The sequence below is a fragment of the Homo sapiens genome, chromosome 16, assembly GCF_000001405.40.
Source record: "Homo sapiens chromosome 16, GRCh38.p14 Primary Assembly".
Lineage (NCBI taxonomy): Eukaryota > Metazoa > Chordata > Mammalia > Primates > Hominidae > Homo > Homo sapiens.
This window is the reverse complement of record NC_000016.10, coordinates 69,904,346-69,926,780: the sequence shown is the minus strand read 5'-3', so window position 1 is coordinate 69,926,780 and position 22,435 is coordinate 69,904,346. Positions and strand designations below refer to the sequence as shown.

The 22,435-nt window shown below is 46.1% G+C and overlaps 1 protein-coding gene across 16 annotated transcripts in view, besides 1 other annotated feature; it reads right to left on the bottom strand.

Annotated features, from left to right (window-relative positions):
* WWP2 (WW domain containing E3 ubiquitin protein ligase 2) overlaps nucleotides 1–22,435 on the bottom strand; it is a 179,408-nt gene that overhangs the window by 14,959 nt on the left and 142,014 nt on the right. For 14 of the 16 annotated variants that reach the window (XM_017022879.2, XM_017022881.2, XM_011522823.3 and 11 more), the window contains 3 exons: nucleotides 17,931–18,020; nucleotides 8,898–9,072; nucleotides 1,297–1,351 (listed from right to left, as the gene is read on the bottom strand). In XM_017022879.2, coding sequence (XP_016878368.1) covers nucleotides 1,297–1,351; nucleotides 8,898–9,072; nucleotides 17,931–18,020 — 320 coding nt within the window. Of the gene's footprint in view, nucleotides 1–1,296; nucleotides 1,743–8,897; nucleotides 9,073–16,375; nucleotides 18,021–22,435 lie in introns of those variants that run through there. The other 2 variants (NM_199424.3, NM_001270455.2) reach the window with 2 other exon arrangements.
* Nucleotides 8,501–9,700: an enhancer, noted in NCBI's record as "MED14-independent group 3 enhancer chr16:69950984-69952183 (GRCh37/hg19 assembly coordinates)". NCBI's record gives its function as "activates an origin of replication core promoter dependent on BRD2, BRD4, P300/CBP and CDK7 cofactors, and independent of MED14, by STARR-seq in HCT116 cells {active_cell/tissue: HCT116}" and the evidence as "EXISTENCE:reporter gene assay evidence [ECO:0000049][PMID:35650434]".

The following is a 22,435-nucleotide window of genomic DNA, read 5'->3' as shown; positions in this document are numbered from 1 at the left end:
TGCCAATCTCTGAGATACTAATGATCTTTCTTTGGTCCAGGGAGCCATGTGGGGCAGCTATCTGCGTAAGGGATCCCCAAGCTGAACATCAACAAATGTGTGGAAGCTTCACTAAATGATCTCTCCAATCAGAAGGACCAGAAGGCCCTTCTGGCACACTGGACTGCAGTGCTCATTGACTAAGTGGTACCCTGCAGGTATAACAGGGTTGACACAACCTCTTAAATAACTACCCGAGAGCAGAAGTGTCTGCATCGAGAAGATCCAGCTCCAAACCTGCATGTTTCCAGGCATCAGATGCCCATCCTATCACTGCCAACTTCCCAGGATGCACCTCTCCATCTTTGTTGTCGAGCGCACCCCCTCCCAGTTTCACACCATCTGTCAACACCACCAAACCAACGTTTACCGTCTTCTGCTGGCCTAACCAATAAATGAAACCCAACACATGCTGGTTCCCGCAAAAACTGCTTTCTTCTGCTCCCAGTGACTCTCACAAGATTAAATAAAACTCTGCCCCAGCTCTATCAAATGCGCTAAGTCTCATCATCTCTAATGACCCTTTTTGCATGGCTACTCTTTCCTAGAATAGCCATGAAGCCTATCATCTCTCCTAAGTCATGGATGTCCATCCCTTAACTCACTGTCAGCAAATCACATCAAGGACTTGGGATAGGTAAGAGGCGGCTACCAAGCGCGAGGAGAAATCTACACGGCGATAATAACTAGCAGCGATGCGTTTCCAGAGTCACCACCTGGCATTCAACTCTCGTATCTGCTTCCCTCTGGCCTCTTTCACAGCTATGTCAGAAATAAAAAGGTGGCTTCTATTAGTCAAAATTAGACCAAAGTCCTCCAACATCTCAGCTGCAAAGAAAGATTTGTTAGGGTGGATCATTCCAACCATACGGTCACAGATCTGAAACAAATCCATTTGGGAGTTAGGCAGTGTCAAAATATCTTAGTGGTAGCATGGACTCTTGAGTAGACACCTTGAAACTCAAGACCAAAAGCCAATAGCCCCCCAGCTGCTCAGGGACATCTTTTCTTAGGGTCACACTCCTTTAGCGATGGTGGGTGGATGCTACAGTGGTTCGGTGGAGCTTGGTTACTTTCCCAGCTGCCCAGCTCCATCACCTGTAATTGCTCTGGTGGGGCATGCCCAGAGAGTGTGCTGGAGAGGGGAGAGATGGAAAACAGAGGGACAGGAACAGGGAAGGAAGACACGCGGGAGGAGAGGACAGAGCACCGTGGCTGACGGAAGGCCAAGGGCCAGGAAGAGAACTCAGTACTTACCCCAGCCAGGAGGGAGGGGGCCCAGGGGATCATGGTCAGTCGAAGCACTCGAAGACTAAACACAAGAAACACAGCAGAACACAGAGGTTACAAAAAGCCACTGGTGAAAAAATCAATCAATCAATAAAAAATAAAAATGCCAATGACTGGCTTCCACATTTGAGCGCTTTGCAGGGAATGCAGTGGGACTTTAGGTGGCATCTGCTCCTCTCAAAAGTCTCTGTTTTTTGTTTTGATTTTTACAGAAAAACCAAAAAAGAACCCTGCGCACGGAGGGCCCAAGTGAGTTTTGGAAAAGGCAGAGCGACGGGGAGGAGGCGGTACGCGGGTGAAGGTGTGCCAGGGTGGCGGAGGCAGGGAGCAGCCCTGGCATGGTAGGAAGGCCCGGGAAGCAGGCTCGGCCCAGTGCCTCCGCTCAGCTCCGGCTCAAGGCGGCCAAGGCGACTGAAATCACCACCACCTCCAACTTTCTCCAAGAACCACACGCAGGAGGGGAAAAAATATCGCAGGCCTTTCCAATGAAATCATTCCCACAAGCCCTGCCCACGCCCAGAGCTTCCTGGCTGGGGCCCGGCCCTCCTCCCTCCACCTCGGCGTCCCCCCCAACCTCCCATCTGGGTGTGCAGCGTCCACCCAGACTGAGGGCACATTCATGCCCCAAGCCCTCACCTCCCCCAGGAATGTTTTCCTTCCCCTTTACAAAGCACCTTTATTCCTCCCCTGCCTGAACCTGAAGTTGCTCAGTGTTCTGTGTTTGTCTCGGGGTGGGGGTGGGGGGGGTGGGGGGTGTTGGGGCTGGGGGTGGGGCAGCAAGACAGAAGGGGAGACAGGGGAAAGAAGGGGGAACTGGCTCCAGGGCTTCAGGGTCACTGTTTACATTAGAATCCCCCCCACACCCCCTCCAGCCAAATTCTGCTTCGAGGTCCCTGGGGATGGACTGCAGTGGACCAGGCATTCTCATATCCTGCGGGGAAGGGGGGTGTTGTCAAAAAGTTCTGGTCGTTAAATAAAACAAGTATTGTTCCACTCTTTCTTCCTTTCTTTTTTTTCTTTCTGAAGCATTTTTATTTTACTTACTAAAATTTAATCGTTATAAGAGGGGATCAAGTTCTAAATGCGGACTTCAGGCTGCTGGGCTGGCCCCGTCTAGGGGTGCCGGAGCCACACATGGGCAGGAGGATGAATGGGGCTCAGTGTCGGCTTGAGAAAACATTGGTGGAACTCAACTGCCAGCAAGCCCCCTTCCACAGCCCTCCCTCCACCCCCAGCTGAAAGGACAGAGAAACTTTCTTTCCAAGGTGGCAACACAGGCCCCTCTTCCAAGCAAGTTCCAACAAAGATGTTTAAGTCTTGAAACCATAGGCTCTTGACAGGACGGAGCCCCCTTTCAGGGCAGGGCCTCCTGCCCACACAGAATGCAAGTGCACGGAGGTGGGGGAAGCTCACCTTGATTTAGGGCCCCTTATCATTGATCTCAAGCTGTGCCTAAAATTCTCCATCACAAATCACGTTGAATCATTACTGAAAAAAATCTCCCGAATTCCAAGTCATGGGGGCGTGTGTCTGTGTGTTGGGGGGTTGGGGGAGATAGGGTACAGCATCTCATAAAATCCAAGTTCCTCCAACTCTGTTTTGTAGTTAACACATTAAAAACATTCGGCAACAGAGGCAAAGGAACAAATGAGAAAACACACGTATTCTACATCATGGAGCCAGAGGCACTGGGTAAGTGCTGAGCTACAGCAGTGACCTTGCAAAAGGGAAGGACTATAGAAAAGGTTATTTTAAGACATTAAAAGAAGACGCATTTGGTGTAAAAGTGTTTGCTGCTTCAGGTCTTGTTTTGGAGTCAGTAGATCATCTGTAAAGCGTTCAGGGTTCTCCTGGGAAATCAGCTACCAGCTGGTACCAACCCAGCTTCCACAGGGGCATGGTCATCTTTTGCTTAATTCTACAAATCAACAGACCAAAAAGGTCTTTACTGACAGTCTCCCTGACTAGCACTGAACTAGGATCAGAAAATACTGATCAGCCCTTTTCTGAATCCTTGCCTTTTAAAAAAAATCTCAGCCTTCATGCAATGTTGGCTCTCTTTCGTTAAAGGGTTTTTAAAAAATTTCCTTGGTATCCTCTGTTTGTTATTCTATCAGAACGCACCCCCCCCACCCCCCCAACACACACACCTATAAGAAGCGAGGAGAAGAGGAGGCAGACAGGAAAGGGAGAGACACCAGAGACTGATAAACACAAACAACATTTATTAGGTTGGTGCAAAAGTAATTGTGGAGTCATGGCGGCCGGGTGCCGTGGCTCAGGCTGGTGATCCCAGCACTTTGGGAGTCTGAGGCGGATGGATCACTTGAGGTCAGGAGTTCGAGACCAGCCTGGCCAACATGGGGAAACCCTGTCTCTACTGAAAATACAAAAATTAGCCAGGCATAGTGGCAGGCACCTATAATCCCAGCTACTCAGTAGGCTGAGGCAGGATAATCGCTTAAACCCAGGAGGCAGAGGTTGCAGTGAGCCGAGATTGCGCCACTGCACTCTAACCTGGGCAACAGAGCGAGACTCCGTCTCAAAAAAAAAAAAGAGTCGTGGCAAAAACCACAATTACTTTTGCACCAACCTAATAAAATCAGAATCAATGGGAGCTGATCCTCACAACAATTTTACTTTTCATTGTTAAATAGAAGCACTTGACGATTTTGGATACTTCTTCCCTAAGGTACGCAGTACAACTTGAAAAATAAAGCCAGAAGGAAGGAACAAGAAGAAATGAAAAATAAAAACTATGCATCATGGCCAGAAAACCAAAAGCCAAAAACCCCACACCTCCAATGAGCCAACCGGCTGCCCCTCCTCTTCTACCACATTCCCCTAAAATGAGAGATGTCAAGGTGTTACGTGGAGCAGAAAAGGATGGAGATGGGGGAAAGCGGGACTCTGCAGCCAGAAGGGAGATCCTAGATGTTCTCTATCACTAGGAACAGAAAAGAACACTGTGGAATCCTCTTCCCGGGTAATGGTCCCTGGGTTGGGAGATCTGGGGTGCAGGCCATGAGCCAGAGAGCTCATGAGAGTTCAAGTCCCTTGGGAACTAAGCACAAAGTTCCAGTAATATTTTAAGATACAAACTCAGAAATAAAGAATGTCTAGCAAATACAGCTGAGGGTAAGAAAGGTCTGGGAAGGGCATAAAGGTTGCAGCGTGGAACGCAGGCATTTTTTTTTTTTTTTAAGGATGCACCAGACGGATGCAGAACAAAATCCAGGTGCTTGAGAATTCAATGCAAGGGGCTCATTGCAGAGTAAGAAACAAGTTGTCTGTTTCTCGATAATGCAATTTGGAGTCCACACCCTAAGAGCCACAAAATAATCTGTTTCTTTTACCTTTTTTTTTTTTTTTTTGAGATGGAGTCTCACTCTGTGTCTCTGGCTGGAGTGCAGTGGCATGATCTCAGCTCACCACAACCAACCTCTGCCTCCCGAGTTCAAGCGATTCTCCTGCCTCAGCCTCCCAAGTAGCTGGGACTAAAGGTGCCCGCCACCACGCCCAGCTAATTTTTGTATTTTTAGTAGAGACAGGGTTTCACCATGTTGGCCAGGATGGTCTTGAACTCCCGACCTCAAGTGATCCGCCTGCCTCAGCCTCCCAAAGTGCTGGGATTACAGGCGTGAGCCACCGCGCCCAGTCAAAATAATCTGTTTCAATACTGCAGAGAGAGATGCCCCAGAAATTGTCGGCCGTGTGATAGTCCCGTCACAACAGCACAATGTGCAAGGCTGTGCCAGGCATCTTCAGTGGGTCCCAGCAGGAACACGACACAAGACGGCAAAAAGAAACTGCAACGGTGAAGCAAGCAAACGAAAAGATACACGATGATCACGGGCAACATTAGCACACTAGGAGTTGGGAAAGGGAAACATGGCAGAAAAACTAAGAACCAGAATTTAGAGGAACTGGAGAAGGTGTGTGTTGAGGCAGACAGCAGGAAGGAATTACAGGAGACTGCAATCTGGGATTCCCTTGATTTCCATTTTGAACTGTATTTCATGTTCTCTGCAGTGCAGCAAAGAAGAACAAGGTCTCAGTTGAAGCCCAGCAAGAGGAGGAGGGGAGGCCGCTAGCTAGTCTAGTATTGGGTCTTAAGTCTTCCGAGTCAAACTCTGGGCCTAAGCCAAACCCCAAAATAACTATATGAAAGCAACCCTTCTTACTTGTAACCAGGACATGGCACCATAGCAAACAAGAGGAGAAAACCAATGCCAGAGGGGGAGGAAAATCAACAGAGAGACATTGAAAGCAGACCAAAGAAAGATTCCTGCCACATTTTTCAATATGAGTTTTGTTTCATGGAGAAAAGGTAACTATCACCTCCATGCAGAACCCTCCCACATCCCCAGCGAGCCTGAGAAAACCATTTTAGAGTACTCAGAAAGAAGAATTTTTTAGTGTTTAATTTTTACTTCTAGGGAACCCTCCAAGTCAAAGTTCTACCTCTATAAACCCAGAATAATGTTGCTAAGAGAGGCAGGCAGGAAGGAAGACTCCAAAAAGACCAGGCAGATGTGAGCTCCAGAATCTGGGAATCTTCCCTTTCACACACCAACATCTTGGTCAACCCACAGAACCTAACTAGTGGGGCTTTTAAGGGAAAAAAAAATTGCTTTAATGCATTTTATTTTATTTATTTATTTATTGAGACAGGATCTTACTGTCATCCAGACTGGAGTGCAGTGGCACTATTATAGGTCACTGCAGCCTCAAACTCCTGGGCTCAAGTGATCCTCCCACCCGCCAGTCTTCCAAGTTGCTGGAATTACAGGTGTGCACCACAACATTCGGTTCCATTTTTTTTTTTTAATGAGAAATTTTGGATAATCAGGTAGACAAAAACCATGTGAAACTCCTAAAATACGTCCTTGTCTCTAAGTCAAAGGACAGATAGGTCAAAGAAGAAAGATGCCCCAGACCTTCCCAGTTTTGCAGCCACAACCACCCAAGAAAATGGCAGGCAAAATCTTTTGGGCCCAGCTCAAAAGGAGCAATCTCTGAAATGTGGTGAAAGACCAGATTCCATCCAATTCTGAAACATGCCAGAATTGGATGTCAGGCATGTGTGGCAGGCATGGGTGGGAAGCCTAGCCCAAGAAAGTGTGCAGAGCGCACTGGGCTAGACAGCGGGGCCCTGGCTGGAGAGGGGCATGATCGTCGACCCTGGAGCAACTTACTAAGACAAACACCACACTTTCTGCTCACCTCTGCTAAGGAAACTGAGGTCCTCCATGGTTTCCTCCCTGTACAATGAGCAATCCATCCCCACAGACAGAACTAACCAAGGGAGATGCTACAGTGACTTATGGCTGATGATTAAAAGTCGGGGGTCCATCAGCTGGGTGTGGTGACTCACACCTGTAATCCCAGCACTTTGGGAGGCCAAGGCAGGTGGATTGCTTGAGCCCAGGAGTTCAAGACCAGCCTGGGCAACATGGCAAAACCCCATCTCTACTAAAAATACAAAAAATTAGCCAGGTGTGACTGTGCATGCCTGTAGTCCCAGCTACTTGAGGGGGCTGAGGTGGGAGGATCACTTCAGCCCAGGAGGTCAAGGCTGCAATAAGCCATGATCATGCCACTGCACTCCACCCTGGGTGACACAGAATGAGACCTTGTCTCAAAAAAAAAAAAAAAAAAAAAGTCAGGGACCCAGCTCAAAACATTTCCAGCCTGCAATGCACCATCATATCCTGTGTTAGTTCTGCTGTAGATCCCAACCTTCGCATCTAAAGTGCTCTGAGAAAATATAATCAGCCAACTTGGGAGTCCCACGTCTCCCTACCAAAGAGGCTTTGCAGCTGGGCTTCCCCACCTCCAGCTCACTGTGGACCCTCTAATGGGATGGAGACTCCAGCAGGTGGAACTGGGAGGGTTCCCACAGGGACACGGTATAGGAGACTGTTTAGGCAGTTAGTTTGAAACCAGAGCACCCACAATTCTGGACGAGAAAATTTAAATGTGGGCCAGGCATGGTGGTTCACACCTGCAATCCCAGCACTTTGGGAGGCCAAGGTGGGCGGATTACCTGAGGTCAGGAGTTCGAGACCAGCCTGACTAACATGGTGAAACCCCGTCTCTACTAAAAATACAAAAAATTAGCCAGGCACGGTGGCGTGTGCCTGTAATCCCAGGTACTTGGGAGGGTGAGGCAGGAGAATTGCTTGAACCCGGGCAGTGGAGGTTACAGTGAGCTGAGATCATGCCATTGCACTCCAGCTTGGGCAACAAGAGCAAAACTCCATCTTAAAAAAAAGAAATAAGAAAAGAAAAGAAAATTTAAATGTGGTCGGGGATGGTGGCTCATGCTTGTAATCCCAGCACTTTGGGAGGCCGAGGAGGGCAGGTCACTTGAGGTCAGGAGTTCAAGACCAGCCTGGCCAACATGGCAAAACCCCATCTCTACTAAAAATACAAAAATTAGCCGGGTGTGGTGGTGGGCACCTGTAATCCCAGCTACTTGGGAGGCTGGGGCAGGAGAATTGCTTGAACCTAGGAGACAGAGGTTGCAGTGAGCCGAGATTGTGCCACTGCACTCCAGCATGGGCAACAGAGCAAGACTCCATCTCAAAAAAAAAAAAAAAAGAAAGAAAAGGAAAAAGAAAATTTAAATGTTACTCTTTAGGTAAAGACCACAAAAGGTTTTGAGCCAGTAAATGGATGCAATGACAGTAACGTTTGAAGACTGCTCTGAGGGGAACAGGCCAGATGGATTGGAAGAGAGAGAAGGCCAATGGAGAGAACAATTTAGAGGCTGCTCTAGCAATTCAGATGGGAAGGGGCAGAAGATGATCAAGCATCAGAAAGAAGGAGGCTCAGCTAGACCAAAGATAACAAACTTTTTCAGCAAAGGGTCAGACAGTAGGCTTAGGCTACTTTAGGATTTCTGAGCTGTACAGTCTTTATTGTGATACTTAACTCTACCATTGTACCACGAAAGCAGCCACCATTAATATGTAAACTGCTGGGTGTTCTTATGTTTCAATGAAACTTTATTAACAAAATGAAGTGGCAGGCCAGCTTGGCCCATGGACTATTATTTGCCAATCCCTGATCTAGATGAGCCCAAGGATCCTTCATCCCTGAGAATGTGTCAGATAATAAAGATCTAACAAAAAACAGTAGCAGGTTTTTGTTTTTGTTTTTGTTTTTTTTTAGAGACAGGGTCTCACTATGTTGCCTGGTGATTGCTTTCATCTGGAAAGGTGAGGGATGGGAGAAGTCAAAGCAAGTCAGGGTGCAAGTCAGGGAAAATGGACTTGAATGAAGGGGGCAGAAATGAAAGCCGATCTCGGAAGAAAGACGGGGAATTCAGTTTTAGACACGTTGATTCCTTAAACACAGAGGCTAGATATGGAGCTGCTGAGTGAGGCACACTGGAATTTGAGGAATTTCACTGTGATGAGTAAAATCTCCAGGGGCAGAGCACTGACGTTGCCAGACGCTGTTTTCCCTGCTCACTAAGCAGGTCAACAGAGAACACGTGGCTGCACATTCGCAAGCGCAGGGAGGCGGCCCCACCTCGGGCCAAGCGCCTGCCCTCTCACCTGGTAGAGGAATCTTTGGCTGAAGTGCTGCATGGCCCCCTGGAGCTGATTCCGCTGCGACTGCCACTGCTCATAGTTGCGCACGTACTCCGCGGTCGGACGCTGCCAGGTGGTGGTCCGAGTATTGTGATCCACATAGTAAAACCTGCCTCGGGGATCTGTGCGTTTTTCCCAGCTGGAAATAGGAACCTCAGAATGAATATAATGACCACCCCACTCCCATCCCCCAATTCTAGAAAAGTCTCAGGATGCCTAGCACAGCCGGGCAGGCCCTGTCACAGAGGTTGCTGGGGCTTAGCTGATTATAGCAGACATCTGTGGTTGCCTCTGCAGCACCCAATCCCTCCTTGCCATTAGCTCTCAATTTCTAATTTGGGGATCCATGTGGTTCTGGGGAAGCTGACTCTGTTCCCAACCTCAGAGTTGCATGGTTGCCTGGACCAGAAGTGCACATGTGATGTATGTTGAGCCAGCCACAGCCAATCTCAGGACATCTGCTAGCAAATCTAGGAAAAATAATAGTTGCTCATCCTTTCTGAATATGACTGAGGAAGCATGTGGTCCTGGGGGCCACTGGCTATTATTTTGGACCCGAAGACAATAGGAAGTTGACCCAGTGGATGGCAGAGCAGAAAAATGGGAGAAAAGCCAATTCCTTGGTGATATTGTTGAGTAGCCCAAGCTTCGCTTGGAATCAGGATTGATATCTAGAATTTTCAGTTACATGAGCCAATACATTCCCTTCCTTATTTAAGCCAATGTTGCTAACAACTTTTGTTACTTGCAACTGAAACTCACCTGATATAAGGTGCCAGTGTAAACATGTTGCATGGTCTTTGGTTTTGTTTTGTTTTGAGACAGAGTCTCACTGTTTATATTTTTAGTAGAGATGGAGTTTCGCCATGTTGCCCAGACTGGTCTCGAACTCCTGGACTCAAACGATCCTCCCACCTCGGCCTCCCAAAGTGCTGAGATTACAGGCGTGAGCCACTGCACCCGGCCTCAATGATTTTTTTTTAAACTCAAGGCCTCCCTAAAAATGGTTTCCCCTCAAGTGGTTCCTAGGACCCACAGTCAGTTCCCAGATTTTGTCTGGATTCTGCCTGCTAGAGTGCCTCACCTTCATGACCAGCTGTCACCCTTCATTCAATTGAATGCCACAGCTCTCTCCCCACACCCAGGCCTTTCTTCAGTCTCCTCATGTCAATTCTCCTCCCAGGGATGAAACCAGGCCAACATCATTCCCGCTGCTATCAATCATTCAGCCTGACTGCTGCTTTTTCAGTCTCCCTGCCACTGACTTTCCATTTTCCATTCCTATGTCCAGATCTGTATCACCTCACCCCTGGACTACTGCTCCTACCCCAGAATTAACCTCCCCACTCCATCCAGCCTACAAATAGCCATCAGAGTAACCCACTAGACTGAGCCCTTCGGTCACACTCCTGCTCAAAAACTTCAATTGACCAGCCTAAGCAACAGAGGGAGACCCCCATCTCTACAAAAATATTTTTTAAAAATTAGCTGGGGGTGGTGGAGTGTGCGCCCTTGGTCCCAGCTACTTGGGCAGCTGAGGTGGGAGGACTGCTTGTGCCTGGGAGATCAAGGCTACAGTGAACTATGATTATGCTGCTACATTCCAGCCTGGGCGACAGAGTGAGATCCTGTCTCAAACAACAACAACAACAACAACAACACTTCCATTGACTCCCCATTGCCCTTGAGTCAAAATCCTTTAGTAAGTACACAAGGCTCACAAAAATCTGGAACCTTCCTAGCTTTCTCATAATTTGTCTAAACTAGTGATTTTTATTTATTTTTGTTACCAAAGATTTTTTTTTTTTTTTGACAGGGTCTCACTCTGTTAGTCCAGGCTAGAGTAGAGTAGCAGGATCATGGCTCACTGCAGCCTCACCTCCCAGGCTCAAGTGATCCTCCCACCTTAGCCTCCTGAATAGCTAGGACCACAGGAATGCACCATCACATTCAACTAATTTTTTAAAAAAATTTTTGTAGACATGGAAGCCTCCCCGTGTGGCTCAGGCTAGTCTCAAACTCCTGGGCTCAAGCAATCCTCTCGCCTCAGCCTCCCAAAGTGCTAGGATTACAGGTGTGAGCCCCTGCACCCGGCCCGAAGTCATATGTATATAGTTTTGAAACATAAACAGGACTGCAGGGAATATAATGAAAAACGATGGTCTCTTGCCCCATTGCTGACTCCTGTTCCCCGAAGGCAACCACTTTCAACTCTCAATTGCTTCTACTAGTATATGTGTACATCTGTGTCTCTAAATAACATGTCTATTTCATTGCTTTTTGTCTTTTCTTTAATACAGAGACAGGATCTCACTATGTTGCCCAAACTGGATTTGAACTGCTGGGCTCAAACTATCCTCCAGCCTCAGCCTCCTGAGTAGCTGAGTAGTCTCAGGTGTGCACCACCAAGCCTGGCTCATTATTTCTTGATTTTTGCCATATTTGCTATCGCTTATGGACTTTCCACTACCAAAGATGAGGGATGAGGATATAGGTATTGCATTCCATCCCTCAACTATCTCCTCCCCTCGTCCTCTCAATATGGAAACTCACCGTTAAATCAATATTCAGGGTTTGGATGACAATGTAGAATACTATAAGTACATTTCCTTACTTGTAACAACTTTTTTCTTTTTTCTGGAGGTGAGAACTTCCTTGTCGTCTTCTGTGTGGTTTTCAAGAACCTATCACTGATGCATCCCCAGATTCTCAGACGGGACAGGTGGCCTGGCAGTGGCCTTCCTCTCTCGGCCACATCTCTCCCTCATCTGACGGGGACAGTTGTGTGTCCATCTCACACCCGCTCTGTGTCCTTGACCTGACTTGCCTTCCCTTCTCCTCCTCCTGGGAGATTCCATGGCCTCGGGGTTAAGTTCCCTGTGTCTTGCATCCCATTCATTCTTCTTTCTTGGCTTCCTGGTGGGATTTGGTGCGATAAATCATGGAGTAGCTTCCAAGACAGGATGTATCAAGGTTAATTTTTTGAAGCCCAGAATGTCTGAAGATGCCTTGACTTCTACTCTCATATTCAAATGTTAAAATAACTCAAAGTTGATTTCTAGACAGGAAATCATTTTCTTTTTTGTTTCTTTGAGACAGGGTCTTGCTCTGTTGCCCAGGCTGGAGTGCAGTGGCATGATCATGGCTCACTGCAGCCTCGACCTCCCAGCTCAAGTGATCCTCCCACCTCAGCCTCCCAAGTAGCTAGGACTACAGGCACGCACCACCATGCGGGGCCAATTTTTTGTTTTTCTAAGAGATAGTGTCTCACTGTGTTGCCCAGGCTGGTCTTGAACTCCTGGACTCAAACGATCCTCCTGCCTTGGCCCCCCAAAGTGCTGGGATTAGACGTTTGAGCCACTGTGCCCGGCAGGAAATCATTTTCCATCGGAATTGTGAAGGTCCTGCTCTACAGCTGAGAAGAAGGATGGCACTCTTGGTTCCTGATCCTTTCTAGGTACTCTGTTTTTTCCCTCTGGAAGTTTCTGAGGCTGTCTCTTGGCACTCAGAAATTCAATCAGATGAGCCTTGGGGTGAGTCTTTTTTTATCCTCTGGGCTAGGCGTGTGGTGAGCTGTTTGAATCTGGATACTTGAGTTCTGGCAATTTTCTTTTCTAATGATTTCCTATTGCCTGTTTCTCTGTTCTTTCCTGCTATTCCGCAAGTTCTTGCTAAAGAACTATTCTTCAGATATTGAATGTCTTGGTCACATCTTCTCATCTTCTTATCTCCAAATTTATCACTTTCTTTTTTTTTTTTTTTTTTTTTTTTTTTTTGAGACAGAGTCTCGCTCTGTCGCCCAGGCTGGAGTGCAATGGTGTGATCTCAGTTCACTGCAACCTCTGCCTCCCAGGTTCAAGCGATTCTCCTTCCTCAGCCTCGCGAGTAGCTGGGATTATAGGCAAGCACCACCACGCCTGGCTAATTTTTTATATTTTTAGTAGAGACGGGGGTTTCACCATGTTGGCCAGGCTGGTCTCGAACTTCTGATCTCAGGTGATCCACCTGCCTCGCCCTCCCAAAGTGCTGGGATTACATGCGTGAGCCACCATGCTCAGCCCAAATTTACCTTTCAACCATTCTACTGAATTTTTCATTTCTGTTGTCATATATATTAATTTCTAAAAGCTCCTGTTTTCTGCCTGGTCCATTTCATGGCCTCCTGTTCTTGTTGCACAGATGCCATTATTTTCTCCCAAATCTTTGAGGATATCAATTATAATCTGGTTTTCCTTTCCAAAGCTGTTTTTCAGCTTCCTATATTGTTTTCACCAAGTCTCTTTTTTCTGTCTGCTCATCTTTGGCTGTTTGTTCACATTTATTTTTATTTATTATTATAATTTTTTGAGACAGGGTCTTGCTCTGTCACCCAGGCTGGAGCGCAGTGGCACAATCACGGCTCACTGCAGCCTCAACCTTCCAGGCCCAACTGATTCTCCCACCTCAGCCTCCCAAGTAGCTGGGAACACAGGCATACACCACCACACTCAGCTAATTTAAAAAAAACTTTTTTTTGGCTGGGCGTGGTGGCTCACGCCTGTAATCCCACCACTTTGGGAGGCCGAGGTGGGTGGCTCACCTGATGTCAGGAGTTCGAGACCAGCCTGGCCAACATGGTGAAACCCCATCTCTACTTTAAAAAAAAAATTACAAGAATTAGCTGGGCGTGGTGGCATGTGCCTGTAACCCCAACTACTTAGGAGGCTGAGGCAGGAGAATCGCTTGAACCTGGGAGGTGGAGGTTGCAGTGAGCCGAGATTGCGCCACTGCACTCCAGCCTGGGCAACGAGAGCAAAAATTCTGTCTCAAAAAAAAAAAAAAAAAAAAAAAAAAAAAAAAAAAAAAAAAAAAAATATATATATATATATATATATATATATATATATATATATTTTTTTTTTTTTTTTTTTTTTTTTTTTTTTTTGTTTTGTAGAGACTGGTTCTCCATATGTTGCCCAGGCTAGTCTCGAACTCCTGGACTCAAGCGATCCTCCCACCTTGGCCTCTGGAAGTTCTACTTCCAGATCCTCCTGCCTTGGCCTCTGGAAGTTCTACTATTACAGGTGTGAGCCACCGTGCCCAGCTGTGTTCATTCGCATTTAACAGTGAGCCACTAAAACACTGACTGAGTTCTGTATCCTCAGATGAGGGCTGCAGACTGTAGAGTGACCAGGAAGAGTCTCAGCTATTTCACTAGAAGGTTCCCAAATATCACAATCTATGTTTCTTTCTCTTAGACTATCACTTTCCCCAGCAAAAACAAACAAACAAACAAACAAAACTACCCTCCAATTTTCAGCCTGGGGAATGGAGATAGCATCCGCATTTAATCTCTTGTTTCTGAGTTCATCCTGGCCTTCAGCTATAGTTTGTGTCCCCCGACCTGGTCCTCCTACTCTCTCTGCAGCTTCTCAATGTCAGAGGCAGTCATGAGGCTGTGTGTGTGTGTGTGTGTGTGTGTGTGTGTGTGTGTGTGTGAATCTAACTCCCTGCACAAACTTCCAACTCATCTTCCAACTGATCTAAAACCAATGAGGTTTTGTTTTGTTTTTTTTTGAGATGGAGTCTCGCTCTGTCGTCCAGGCTAGAGTGGTGCAGTGGTGCAATCTCAGCTCACTGTAACCTCCGCCGCTGGGGTTCAAACAATTCTCCTGCCTCAGCCTCCCAAGCAGCTGGGACTACAGGTGTGTGCCACCATGCCTGGCTAATTTTTTGTATTTTTAGTACAGATGGGGTTTCACCGTGTTAGCCAGGATGGTCTCAATCTCCTGACTTCATGATCCACCTGCCTCGGCCTCCCAAAGTGCTGGGATTACAGGCGTGAGCAACCGAGCCCAGCCAAGGTTTTAATCTCATTCCACACCCATCCTTGGTGCCTCTAATCGCTGAGGCTTTCCAGAGCCCCATGGTGCACATCAGCCGGCTTCCTGGTGGATTCCTCATCCTGCAGGTGTGGGTTTCATTCTCTCGGCTCTGCCATTTATCTATCAGAAACTAAACTTTGATTAACATCTCCCATATGCTGTTTCTCCTCTTCCATCCCTTTATTGTTGAAGGTTTATGCCTTTTTAATACTTTTATTACTATTTTAGTGGGTTTTCAGGAAGAATAGAAATAAACACATGTTCAAGCCACATGTTTAACTAAAAGTACTCTGCTGTGGTGAATTTCCACTTCTAAGAAGCACGATTGCACTCTTTATTTCAGTTGAAATCTTGCACAGAACAGTGACTGGAGGCCCAGTCAGCCCTTCCACCCTCTTTGGCTCTGGTGGGCATCTCCCCCAAACCTGAGAGCCCCACCGGGCACACTTGGACTTCTTTACTTCATACAACCCTTCCACTCCAGCATAACCACCCCATGCATCCTTCCCCAAACACATCCTTTCCCTTCCCATATGCAGGCAGCCACCTCCACTGTCCCCCCAACCTGGATCATCTTCTTGCAAGAGTTGGAGCCACTTCCCTCTGTGAGGCCTCCTCAATCCTCTTGTTTCACAGTGATCACTCTTTGCTTACCTGTGGTCTGAACACTGCTTAAGAGTGACTGATGAGCAAATGGATGCATTCACCCTGAGCTACTAGGTCCAATACTTATTGCTCCCGGATAGAAGGACCCATTCTCATACAAGTTTCCTGTGGGTTTCCTATGCAGGGACGGCCATGATTAAGTGAATCGGTGGTTCAATCTTGCTCCCCAGGGACTAGGTCTGTTGAGATCATGGCTCCATCTGTAGTTTCAAAATTGTTTTCACCATGGTTAATACTTCCCTGGAGGCAGGACTTCTGCCATTAATGAGAAATGAAAGCTTAAGCATTCATTCTGTTCTCTCTGGATCCCCTGTGATTACAGAGCAGAAATGAGAGCTAGAGGCTCAAAGTTCTTGACCTAAAACTCAGGAAGGACTAGTAAGCTATGCAGGGCGTACAGGTGAGCCATCTCCCAGGAAAACATGAAAACTACCCTGAAATAAGACAGCTTGATTAGTAGTGTCCCACCTCAACACCTAGAGGAGAGCAAGTCCCCAGCGATCCTTAGAAGGTACCACTGAATATCTTTACTTAAATTCCATGCAAATGCTCACTGGGTCAAGGCCTACGTCCCTCCTAGACAAGAGAGGTTAAGAAGAAGCCACAGTAGGCTGGGCGCAGTGGCTCACATCTGTAATCCCAGCACTTTGGGAGGCAAAGGCAGGCGAATCACAAGGTCAAGAGTTCAAGACCAGCCTGGCCAAAATGGTGAAACCCTGTCTCTACTAAAAATACAAAAAATTAGTTGGGCATAGTGGCGGGCGCCTGTAATCCCAGCTACTTAGGAGGCTGAGACAGGAGAATCGCTTGAACCCAGGAGGTGGAGGTTGCAGTGAGCTGGAGATTGCACCACTGCACTCCAGCCTGGGCAACAGAGCGAGACTCCGTCTAAAAAAAAAAAAGCCACAGTACACAGAGCTCCTGCTGTTTTAAAGTGCACATGTTATAAAGTACACAAAGTACAAGTGTGTAATACATACTGTTAAAGTCAATGTTTAATTTGTGACACAATTATAGAAAGTCAAATATTGACTGGGTATTTGATAATATAAACAAAATACTGTTAATGATATTAGAGTTTTATTTTGAATAAAAGAATATGTTTTAGAAATACATAGTGAAATATGGATAGATGATGTGACATTTGGGATTTGCTTCAAAATTACCTAGATCAGGGTGCGGCGGATAGGTTGGGGGTTACAGATCGGGAGTTAGCAAATTTTTTCTATAAAGCGCTACACAAAGTAATTATTTTAGGTTTTGCAAGCCATAGAGTCTGCTGCAATTACTCAACTCTGCCAATGAAGTACAAAAACAGCCAAAAACAATAAGTCAACAAATATGTGTGGCTGTGTTCCAATAAAACCTTATTTACAAAAACAGTCAGAGGGCCGGATTTTGTCCACAGGCCATCATAGTGTGCCGACTAGTTTGTACAGATGAAACAAAACCCGCCATGAGTTGATAATTTTTGAAGCTAAATGTTGAGTATGTGGGGGTTTGTAACATTATTCTCTCTATATCTATTTGAAATTTTCCATAATAATAAGAACATTTTCATAATTTTCATAACAAAACACTTAACCTGTTTTTTTGTTGTTTGTTTTTTTCTAATTTGAGAAGTCCATGTTTAACTTTGGTAACTTCATTTGACTTCAAGTCAAAGTGGAAAACACAGTGAGTACTGATGATGACAGGTTATGAGTTTCATCCTCCAGGAGGTACGGAAAAAAGGAAAACTCAAGCATTCTACTGGAAAACTGGAGCTAAAAGCAGCCCATCCATGGAGAATTATGGGACCAGAAGATGAGGTGGGATGTGTGTGGCACACGCCTGACAGCTGAACCAAACAGGGCACACGGGCTCTCCTAAGAGTCCCTACTTCCGACAGCCTTTCCCTCCACAAACTCAGGGCAGGGGAAGTGTGCATATTTTATACAGGAGCCCTTCATGGCTACTTTACTGGGAGGTGATTCTTTCTTGGAGCAGAATACATCCCCTTTTGAAAGCTCTCGGGACCAGGAGACACATGTGGAAAGAACTTTCTGTCCCTGGCAGACAGGGAACCAAACCCCTTCTCCTTGAACTTGGACAGTCTTCCCTCTCTTGGAAGCCTCTCTCATCCTTTGGTTTTGGATAACTTGGCGGCATTCTCACGAAGCCCTGCCGAATAAGAAGCACTCTGCCTTTAGGGACAGGCTGGGCATAGGGTACGGCGGAATGCATCAACACTCTAAATCTTGGCCTCCCATGCGCCTTTTGTTTCCCAGAGATCTTCTAATAATTCTAATATGTCCTAAGACATGGGAGCAATATTAAGGTAAGTGGATAGGAAAAGCAATCAAGTGACCCGGAATAAACGTCACTGTGCTATGCTACCTCCGCAGAAAGGGACCGTTTCAAGAAGCCATTGGGTGACTCATGGTGTCAGTTCCAGAGTCTCAGGTCTTCTCAGTTGATGACCTACCCTGGAGGAAGGGGCCGCTCCCAGGTGGTGGTCTTGGTATTGTGGTCAACATAATAGACACGTCCGTTGGGCAGCTCTCGCTGTTCCCATCTGAAAAATAAAGTCAAGGGTAGCATGAGACACACAGTGGAAAGGCATAGGCCCCTGTTAGAAAGGAAGACCTTCATCACTCATGTGGCTAATTTACAGGAAGCATCAAAGATGACATGCGAGGCCGACCCAATGGCGAAGCCAGTTCCTGCTGTGGCTGAGGGTGCCAGCCAGGAGTGCTTCTTGAAGAAACTATAATAGCTCCCCTGTATGGAATCAATGGACCAGGATCCACTATAGATCACTCTAAATTTCCCTAAATGACTGACAGGAATATATATTCCATGGATTTTTTAAAAAAATTCAGCATTTCTCCACCATTTCACAAAGGTCCCTTTAGGAACATGATGAAAGCTGAGGACCCTTTCCCTTCAAAATGCACTTAGGACAAAAATTTGTATTGCAATTTCTGGGTTTCATAGACCCCTCCACAAGATCATCTATAGGCCCTCCAGGCTTTTTCGTCTACCCAACCTGTTAAAGTCACAGATTCTTTACTATTATTTATTTTTTAATGAAACAGGGTCTCACTCTGTTGCCCAGGCTGAAGTGCAGTGACACAATCTCAGCTCACTGCAGCCTCCACCTCCCAGGCTCAAGCAATCCTCCCACCTCAACCTCCCGAGTAGCTGGGACTACAGGCACACATTACGATGCCCAGCTATTTTTGTTTTTTAATTTTTGGTAGAGACGGGTTTCACCATGTTGCCCAGGCTGGTCTGGAACCCCTGAGCTCAAGCGACCCACCCACCTTGGCCTGCCAAAGTGCTGGGATTACAGGAGTGAGCCACCGCACCCGGCTTAAAGTCACAGGTTCTATGACTACCCCTCTCCTCCGAGCATCATATATATTCATGCTCACATTTATTTTTGTAATATAAGATTCATTTACAGAGTATCTTAAACGAGATCTGGGTGAATACAGAAACACAACATATGGTTATTTTATACTGCTCTACCTATGAAGTCAAATCTGTTTGTAAGCTAATATAAGATCAAGGTGCTGAGGATGGCTTATGTGCACTACTGAAAGAATGCCAAGGTAGCAGGTGATTCAGAGATAATACACAAGCCCGATCAGTACAAAATACAGCCAAGGACCACTTATCCCCACACTCCTGTTATTTGCATGCAGTCTGACAATAACTCTACTTACCCAGAATATAGTAACCTATATATAAAGGATGCAAAAATGTATTTATATAATGCTTACCACTTTCTCAAGGATATTAATGGTGCTGTGGGCCTTTATGTTTTACACTGAATTTATTTACTTCTACTTTTGGGTACTGTCTAGGAGAAGTTGACCTTTTCTGGGAAGCTACTACAGTCAGTTCTGCGGTAATGCTTGCTTTGAAAATGCAAATTTGTTCCAATGCTATTGATATAGAAGCGGACGATGTGAGCATAATGGGAATTCTATTTGCTTATGCGTGATTTTGTCTGTGAGAAACACTAGATGAACACAGAAGACTTCCCCCAGCTAAACCTAGTTACACAAGAATGCACAAAACCCACAGGCATCTAGCAACCTCCTCAGTTTACAATGTATTAATAGGCTACACCGTCAACATCTGGAGTTACAACTCCCATCTGATTTCAGATAGCCCTCCATGCACCAGTTCACAGTAATACTCACAAGCTCCAACTTCTGACACCTGCTTCCACAAGCAAACTTCAGGTCTTCTCAAGAGAAAATGCCATATTTACTGTAGTGTTATCTATTTCGTAATCATTTAACATGTGTAAAACTGCTATCATTATTAGGTTCCTTTTTAATGTGTCATTGACAAATATTTTTAGTATTACATTCCTACTCACTTTTCCCCACAAGCCCTGTGGTTTTTATCCTTTTAACATATTTTTCTTTTTATTTTTTTAAAGACAGAGTCTTGCTCTGTTGCCCGAGCTGGAGTGTGGTGGTGTGATCATAGCTCACTACAGCCTCTGATTCTTGGGTTCAAGTGATACCCCTGCCTCAGCCTCCCAAGTAGCTAGGAAAACAAGTGCATGCCACGAGGCCCAGCTAATCTTTTTATTTCGTAGAGACAGGGTCTTGCTTTGCCCAGGCTGGTCTCGAACTCTTGGGCTCAAATAATCCTCCCACTTCAGCCTCTCAAAGTGCTGGTATCACAAACCAACGTGCCTACCCTCTATGGTTTTTAACTGCATAATTTTGCATCACGTGCTGACTTTTAGGAGCACATATGTTATAGCAGAGCTAACTGTATATGAAGAAAAAAGTCCTAACTTCTACTATTAAGCCTGATGTATCTACACTGATAGATATTACCTGTACTCACTGCCACTTCTTATTTAAACTGGGATGTCTGGTTAGTGGACTGCATTGATCAGCCCCTCAGAAGCTAGTCCAGAAACAGATACGTAAGGCCGGGTGCGGTGGCTGACACCTGTAATCCCAGCACTGTGGGAGGCCAAGGCGGGCAGATCACAAGGTCAGGAGATCAAGATCATCCTGGCTAACACAGTAAAACCCTGTCTCTACTAAAAATATAAAAAAATAGCTGGGCATGGTGGCAGGCACCTGTAGTCCCAGCTACTTGGGAGGCTGAGGGAGGAGAATGGCGTGAACCCGGAAGGCGGAGCTTGCAGTGAGCTAAGATCGCACCACTGCACTCCAGTCTGGGCGACAGAGCAAGACTCCGTCTCAAAAAAAAAAAAGAAAGAAAAGAAAAGGAAAGAAAAAGAAACAGATACATAAGGTTTTCAAGGTAAGAAAGAAGCAGAGGAGACACCATTACCCACTGAGAATCTACCACGAGCTACAGGCTAACACCATGTATGCAATCCTTGCCTTCATCCTTTAAGGTGGAATCACCATCACCACTGAGGAAACTGAGGCTCAGAGAAACTATGTAACTCTTCAATGGGATTCAAACTCAGCTCTGCCCCCCAAGCCCATGAGTTTCACCATGCTTTGCTGAAAGGAAGAATGGGCAGAAAAGGAAGATGAACTGAAATTTATAAGGACTCTACTACATGGCCATGTGCCAGGTGGCTTCCCAATCCTGATCTCAAAGTGAGCAGCCTTCCCTAGCACTGGCATTGAGGTAGGATCAAGATGACTAGGGAGGAATTATACAGGTTGAGTAGCCCCTTCTCTAGATGCTTGGGACCAGAAGTGTTTCAGATTTTGGATTTTTTGTTTTCAGATTTTGGAATATCTGCAGAATACATACCAGCTGAACATCCCTAATCTGAAAACCTGAAATCCTAAATTCTCCAGTATTTCCTTTAAGCATCATGTCGGAACTCAAAAAGTTCTGGATTTGGGGGCATTTCAGAACAGGAACACTCAACCTGTAATGGGTCCACAGACATTTCTAGGCTCCATTTTAATCACAATCTTCTGCTCAGATCTGATCTCCTGGAAGAAGGTACACATTTTGCACCACTAGGAGGGCTGGCCCCAAGAACAGTGAGATCTGGAGGTTCTACACACCCCCCAAAGCGGACAACTCTTGGTTGAGGACCAGAGTGCTACTGTTTAAAGACAAACATTAGACAAAATAAATTTAACCAAGTTTATTTAAGAATGATCCAGGAACTGGGCAGCACTCAGAACCAGGAGAGGCTCAGAGAGCGCTGCCAAGCAGTGTGAGCGGCAAGTCTTTAGAGGCTGAACACGGAAGCAAGGTAGAGAAATCATCTAAACAGCTACAGCTGGGCGTCTGCCTTATTTGGGCGTGGTCTGATCAGCTGCCTGCCTGTGACTGGCTGGAACCCAGCTATTTGTTACAAAAAACATATACTCCTAATTTGGGTTTTGGTTGGTTTACGTACTAAGTTAGGTTGTAGTTTGCTATGTAAGAACTGGAAGTATGGAGACAGCTTCAGGCTAACGGCCTCTTGCTTACTTATTTAACATGACAAACACCATTAAATAGCATGTAGGGATGTTTTCTCTCCCGGGCATTCTTGCTCAAGGCTCTGACTGATGAGACTCCTGGGGATTTGACCCAGATGCCCTGGTTCCTCCCACTGCAAAAGGGAGATCTTCATATTTCATTTAGTATTTTACCAAAAGGGCAGGATCTGGCAAAAGTGGCCAGATGAAAATGCACACTAGGGCCAGGTACAGTGGCTCATGCCTACAGTACCAGAACTTTGGGAGGCTAAGGCAGGAGGATCACTTGAAACCAGGAGTTTGAGGCCAGCTTGGGCAACATAGCAAGATCCCATCTCTATAAAAAAATTTTTTTAAATAGTCAGATGTGCTGGCACATACCTGTAATCGTACCTACTCAGGAGACTGAGGCAGGAGGATCACTTGAGCCCAGGAGTTGGAGGCTGCAGTGAGCCGTGATCACACCTCTGCACTCCAGCCTAGGCAATAGACCCCAACTCAAAAAAAAAAAAAAAGAAAATGCGCACTGGGTATAGTTAAAGATCTT